This window comes from Homo sapiens, chromosome 2 (assembly GCF_000001405.40).
Source record: "Homo sapiens chromosome 2, GRCh38.p14 Primary Assembly".
NCBI classification, from domain to species: domain Eukaryota; kingdom Metazoa; phylum Chordata; class Mammalia; order Primates; family Hominidae; genus Homo; species Homo sapiens.
In genome coordinates this window covers 91,475,756-91,482,979 of record NC_000002.12, presented here as the reverse complement: position 1 = coordinate 91,482,979, position 7,224 = coordinate 91,475,756, and the positions used below count along the sequence as shown (strand labels likewise).

At 49.3% G+C, this 7,224-nt stretch overlaps 1 annotated feature.

Annotated features, from left to right (window-relative positions):
• Positions 6,258–6,458: a silencer, noted in NCBI's record as "peak3789 fragment used in MPRA reporter construct". NCBI's record gives its function as "represses an SCP1 promoter by STARR-seq MPRAs in K562 erythroleukemia cells {active_cell/tissue: K562}" and the evidence as "EXISTENCE:reporter gene assay evidence [ECO:0000049][PMID:32103011]".

Sequence of the window (7,224 nt, the reverse complement as noted above, 5' to 3'; positions counted from 1 at the left end):
ACCAAGTGACTTTTATGCAAATCAGCCATGTGCTGTCATGAACAGTTTCCTCATGTGTGAAATGGGGCACTGAGGATGTGAAGGGGTGTCCTGAGGGTTCCGCCAGCTGATGCACCATGAAGTGTACATACATGTATAGACAGACACACACACATACATGAGAAGAGTATCTAGTGCCTCTTTTATGCATTCTTGAGTAACTCAGAATGTTATGTGAGATATTAACAGTCATATGTCATTTTCAACTAAAATTATCAATATTTATCTTATAACTAACAGATGCTTCTCTGTACACTGTAGGTTTCATGTACATTTTTTCAATCACAAAATGTTTCACCAATCTATTTACGTCTAGTATCAGAAAGTTAAGCAAGGAGATTGCAAACCAACACAACACCTTTAGTCTGGATTTTCCCGGAGCCCCATTTGTGTTAGTGTCCTCGGGCTACTGTAAAAAGTTCTCAAAAATGTGGTAGCTTCACACAACAGGAATGGAATCTCTCATAGTTCAGAAGTCCAGATCAGTTTCACTGGGCTAAGATCTTGGAGTCATCAGTTCTGGCTCCTTCTGAAGCTCTAGGGAGCAGTCTGATTTAGCTCTTCCAGCTTCTGGTGGCTTCTCTCTCCCGGGATGTGGACACATCACTGCAATCTCTGTCTCTGTGTTCACACTGCCTTCTCCACTTCAGTCTATGCTAAATCTCTCTCTACCTCTTGTTTTTTTTAGGACACTTGAGTTTGCATTTAAGTCCCAGTTGATTAATCTAAGACCATCTCCCTGTTTCAAGCTCCTTAATTTACACCTGCAAAAGCTGTTTTCCCAAATGAGATACATGCATAGTCTTCATGGAATGAAACCTCACTATTTGGGGATGATACTCAGTACTACACCATTACATAACCAGGTCTCAGTGTTAGTCCTGTACATACATCACAATCTCTCTCTCTCTCTCTCTCTCTCTCTCTCTCTCAATGTCCACACACCCTGGCTTCCTCCTTTTCTCAATGTCATAAATCTCTTCAATTCCTTAAGTGTATCCAGTGATACCTATAAACAAATAAGTATCTGAGAAAAGTCTCAATCAGTTTAGAAATTTATTTGGTCAAAGTTAAAGAAATATCAGTGAAACAGCCTCAGGAGGTCTTGAGAACGTGTGTCAAAGGTCGTCGGGCTACAGGTTGGTTTTACACGTTTTAGGGAGACATAAGATATCAATCAATACGTGTAAGTTGTACATTGCTTTGATATGAAAAGGCAGGACAGCCCGAAGGAGGGGGGATGTTGGGGACTTCCAGGTCCTAGGTGGATTCAAAGATTTCATAGGTGGTTGAAAGAGTTGATCTAATGACCTGTAATCAACACAAGGGAGTTTCTGGGTTTAGAAAAAGGGTTTTGGAGCCAAGGTTGCATCATGCAGATGGAGCCTCCAGGTAGCAGGCTTCAGAGAGAATAGATTGTAATTGTTTCTTAGCAGACTTAAAAGGTGCCAAACTCTTAGTTAAATCTCTCTGGGTCAGGAAAGAGACTTAAAAAGGAGTCTCTACAGAATGTAGATTTTTCCCACAAGAACCAGCTTTGCAGAGGCATTTTTAAATACATTAAATAACAATATCTTGGGGAAAATACTTTGATTTCTCTTAGGACGTGGTATCTGTCACATTGGTATCTTATTGCTATAAAGAGTTTTCTTTGTCAGTCTCAAGGTCTCTGTCTTCATATTAAAAGCTGGTCAGTTGTGCCTGAATTTTAAAGGGAAGAGGGTAAGTTAAGGCATATCCAATCATCCGTTCCGATCATGGGCTGCATTGTATTTCAGGTTGATTTTGGTGTGTGCTTGGCTGAGAGGAGGAGTTCATTCAGTTGGTTAGGGAGCTTAGAGTTTCATTTTTGGTTTACACACCTATGTCCAGGTAAGAGGGCCCCACACAGGAGGGCTTGCTCAGAACCTGGCTTGCAGGGCTGCTTACAGACCTTCTATGTCTCCTGTTGTCATGCACAAGGAAGGACACAGCCAATGACAACCCTCAGCCATCCGAGGAGAAGCTGTGTCTGCAGAGGACGGTCATGAGCTGTGAGTCTAGAGACCTGTGATTGTCTTCAGGGGCCTGTGGTCCTTGGCTTTCATAGGAGTTGTGGGGGCACTGGCTCAAATAGCATCCACCAGGATTCTAATCAGAATATCTCATTCACAGAAGGCAGTGGGTGGTATGACAGCACAGAGGGACTCTGTGGGTCCAGCTGCATGGAGCACTCTGGGAGAGTCACTGGCACCCGTGCTAGACAGAGCTTCATTCAACTTCTGGAGCACACGGATTTAGATCTCTTTACATCATTTTGAAAGACCACTTATCATTCTGAAGGAAACCACTGTAATTAACTAAGGTAACATCTTTAATAGGTAGAAAGAAAAAACTGATTATTTTATTGCCAAGATGATTACAAGAAAAGAAAGAAACAAAAATAGCATGAAGGAAAGAGCAACACTAGACTGAGGGCTTTGGGTAAGAGGTTGAGACTTAGTAGTGAATGCCCTGGGCCATCTTCTGTCAAAAGGGAGGGACAATCAGCAAAGGGAAATATGCAGTAGAGGCAAAATCTTGGTTAGTAAAAGAATCCTAAGAGAAAACAAGAAGTCTCCTTCCTGAGCATCATGTTGGTGTCGGGAAGATGCACATAATCCCCCCATTGCATGTCTTAACACTTTTCAGCAATTAGGGCTCAGCACGAATTTAGAAGACACCATTCACTTCACAGCAGATGGGGACACAGTCAAGGCAGCGGTGAGAGGCAAGGCTGGGCTTTCAGTCTCAGAGCACAGAGCAGGTTCCCCACTACTCCGCACCCTTGTGTCTCCTCCCAGATGTTCCAGATGTTCCACCTCATTCTTGCCTTAAGGGCTCCAAGTTGTTAATGGGACAGTAGCCCTCTTCCTTTCCCAGGGTTTCTAAGAATTTGGCTCTCTTTTGTGTATTGCGGGGTTTGTTTGCCATCTAGAGGCAGGTTTTTGGCATAGCAACTTATAGGCTTTTTCTACTTGTGATAGCGAAAATAAATACATAAATAAATTCATCATAAATAATAAATTGACTTAATGCATTGAATCTGTAAAAAAAAAAATAAGGTCAGTTTGAGAGCTTAAAAGGAGCCTGATGAGGTTAAAAAGACAAATTACCTTTAGTAAAGAGCAGTTGGAGCAATAGATGATTCTTTCTTTAATCAATGACATTTTAGGAGTAATTATCAAATGGTAAATAAAACTTGAAATAAGCTGATAAACTATAATTTTATATGAAAAAAATATTTCCAAGAACCATACAAATACATTTTCAGATTAAAACAAACAAAAATGTGGGTTTATCATCAGATCCGCTAAATGGAAGATTTCTCAAATGTGTGCTTGGAGCAAAAATAACACTTATCCCTATTTAAAAGTTGAAGATTTTTGAGCTTTCGAAGAAAACAGCTTTCCCTTCCCTCTGTTCCACTCACACTTCTGACGATGGCCATGGGGCAAAAAGCCGAGACGCGCAAAAAGCTGCGGTGGTGGGGGGGCAAAAAGCCGCGGCGGCGGAGGCAAAAAGCAGTGGGAGCAAAAAACCATATAACGTCGCGGCGGCGGGGGGCAAATAGCCGCGGCGGCGGGGGCAAAAAGGTGCAAAAAGCAGTGGTGGCGCGGGCAAAAAGCCAGGGCGGCGGGGGCACAAAGACGCAAAAAGCCACAGTGGCGGGGGGGAGTGGGGGGGCAAAAAGCCACAGTGGCGGGGGGGGGGGCAAAAAGCCACAGTGGCGGGGGGGGGGGGCAAAAAGCCGCAGCCGGCAACAAGCCGCGGCGGCGGGGGGAAAAAGCCGCGGCAACAAAAAACCACGGCGGCGGCGGGGATGCAAAAAGCTGCGGAGGCAAAAAGCCGCGGCGGCAGGGGGGCAAAAAGCCGCGGCGACGGGGATGCAAAAAGCCGCGACGGGCAAATAACCGCGGCACCGGGGGGGGGCAAATAACCGCGGCACCGGGAGGGCAAAAAGCCGCGGCGGCGGGGGTGAAAAAGCCGTGGCGGTGGGGGGGGGGGGGCAAAAAGCCGGGTCGAGCAAAAAGCCGGCAGCAGGGGGCAAAAAGCCGCGGCGACGGGGGTGCAAAAAGCCGCGACGGGCAAATAACCGCGGCACCTGGGCGGCAAAAAGCCACGGCGGCGGGGGTGAAAAAGTCGCGGCGGCGGGGGAGCAAAAAGCCGGGTCGGGGAAAAAGCCGCGGCGGCGTAGGATAAAAAGCCTCGGTTGGCAAAAAGCCGCGGCGGGCAAAAAGCCGCGGCGAGAAAAAGCCATGGCGGCGGGGTGGCAAAAAGCCGCGGCGGCAAAAAGCCACAGCGGCCGGGGGGGCAAAAAGCCGGGTCGGGCAAAAAGCCGCGGAGGCAAAAAAAGCCGCGGCGGCAGGGGGCAAAAAGCCGCGGCGGGCAGAAAGTCCTGGGGGCGGGGGGCAAAAACCCGCGTCCGGCAAAAAACCGCGGCGGCAGGGGGCGGGGGGTGGCAAAAAGCCGGGGCGGGCAAAAAGCCGCGTCGGCAGGGGGGAAAAATCCGCGGCGGCGGGGGTGAAAAAGCCGCGACGGGCAAAAAGCCACGGCGGCGGGGGGGCAAAAAGGTCGGGAAAAAAGTCGCGGAGGCAAAAAAAGCCGCGGCGGCAGAAAGCCGTGGAGGCGGGGGGCAAAAAGCCGGAGCGGGCAAAAAGCCGCGGCGGAGGGGGTGAAAAAGCCGCGGCGGCGGGGGGCAAAAAGCCGCGACGTCGGGGGGCAAAAAGCCGGGTCGAGCAAAAAGTCGCGGCAGCAGGGGGCAAAAAGCCGCGACGGGCAAATAACCGCGGCACCGGGGCGGCGGCGGCGGCGGCGGCGGGGGAGCAAAAAGCCGGGTCCGGCAAAAAGCTGCGGCGGCGTGGGGTAAAAACCCGCAGCGGGCAAAAAGCCGCGGTGGCGGGGGGGCAAAAAGCCGCGGCGGCGGGGGATCAAAAAGCCGGGTCTGGCAAAAAGCCGCGGTGGGCAGAAAGCCGTGGGGGCGGGGTGCAAAAAGCCGCAGCGCGCAGAAAGCCGCGGCGGCGGGGGACAAAAAGCCGCGGCCGCGTGGGGGGGCAAAAAACCCGCGGCGGGGGGACAAAAAGCCGCGGCGGCGGGGGTGCAAAAAGCCGCTGCGGGCAAATAAGTGCGGCACCGGCAGGGGGGTTAAAAAGCCGAGTCGGGCAAAAAGCCGGGTTGGGCAAAAAGCCACGGCGGCGGGGGGGAAAAAAGCCGTGGCGGGCAGAAAGGCGCGGCGGCGTGGGGGAAAAAGCCGCGGCGTTGGGGTCAAAAAGCCGCGGCGGCGGGGGGGGCAAAAAGCCGTGGCGGCGGGGAACAAAAAGCGGCCAGGGGGGGGGCAAAAAGCCGCGGCGGCGGGGGGGCAAAAAGCCGGGGGTGGGCAAAAAGCCGGGGCGGGCAAAACCCCGCGGCGGCAGTGGGGCAAAAAGCTGGAGCGGGTAAAAAGCCGCGGCAACAAAAAGCCGCGGCGGCGGGGGCGCAAAAGCCGCGGTGGACAAAAAGCTGCGGCGGCGGGGTGCAAAAAGCCGCGGTGGGCATAAACCCGAGGCGGCGGGGGGCGGGGGGGTGCAAAAAACCGCCGTGGGGAAAAAGCCACGGCGGCGGGGGGCAAAAGCCCGCGGCGGGCAAAAAGCCGCGGCGGCGGGGGGACATAAAGCCGCGGTGGCGAGGGGGGTCACAACAAAGCCGCGGCGGGCAAAAAGCCGAGGCGGGGTGGGGGGCAAAAAGCCGCGGCGGCAGTGGGGCAAAAAGCCACGGCGGCGGGGGGTAAAAAGCCGCGGCGGGCAAAAAGTCGCGGCGGCGGGGGACAGAAATCCGTGGCGGGCAAAAAGCTGAGGCGGGGTGGGGGGGAAAAAGCCGCGGCGGATGGGGGCAAAATAGTGGAGATGGGGTAGAAGGACGGCACAGCTTGGTATTGCTGGAGTGTGATGTGATAGGAAATGTGCAGCCAAAGACAAAAAAAGATGTAAGCTTGACTCATTGCAGCTAAGAACCCAGATGTTATCTTGAGGGTATTAACTAATAAGCAGTTTAAATCAGAATGGCATATTCTGATTTGTTTTTTGTATGTTCACATTTGGCAGGCATAGATACTGTTTGAAAAGAGGAAAGACAGTAGAGGTAACAAACTTAAATATGTGCGAAGTCTAGAAACAAGAGACCAGGGGGATAAGGACCTTTCAAAATAAAATGCAAGATTTGAAAACTGATTGGCTGGGGCATGAGGAAAAGGCAGGTCTTTAAGGTCAATCCCTGTTTTGCTTTAAGTTGTTAGGGGTTGGTTTTATCACATATTGTAGAACATGTCATTTCAGTTTTGAACATCTTGAGTTAAATTGTCCTAACATATCTTATGAATTTGATTTTCTTCCCTGGGAAGCTAATATTTCAAAAACTGAAAGAGTATATAGATTTCCAACTTGTATCCAATTTATAAAACTATCTCTAGGCTGCTGATTTCAGGAGGAGGCTCATGAATATTCTCTTTTCAGAGAATATATCAGGAGTTAACAACAGCTTCAATATTTGTGGACGACCAGTTAACTAAGCCACCTCTTAAGTGTATTTAGATGGGAAATCTTAGCTGAAGATATTCAATAATGAACCAACAGTGACTAAAAAATTCAACATTTAAGTATATTTCATTGTAATTAATTTGAATTGAAGTAGCAGCTAGTATTTACTACATTGAACAATGCAAATAAGAGGAAAAAATTAATAACTATCTCTAATACCACAAGCCAAAATCCTCATCAATTTATTCTAGCTAAAGGAGTTGATCAGAAGCAGCAGTTGAAAGCACCAACTAAACCAGCTGGGGTTGGTTCACTGTCGTTCTCTCAGAACCATCTCTTCTCTGAACAAAACAAGTACAGGAGTTCATTGTGAATCTGCATTCTCCTTGCCTATTTTAAGGTTTTGATGTTGACACTAATTTGTGAAATCCCTCCTGTGGTGTGATATTTCGTTTTCCTTGCTTTCTGTTAGGACAAGAATGCTTCAGCTCTTAATTTAAAATTATGTTTCTCCCTCCTAGGTTGAGTGAACTTAGAATGCATTCTCTGACATATCCAAGTTTTTGTTAATATGAATTTCAGGAAAAAAGCATACTTAATTAGCTAAGACTTCTTATTCTAGGCTTGACCCTATGTTCGACATCTTTTGAATTTC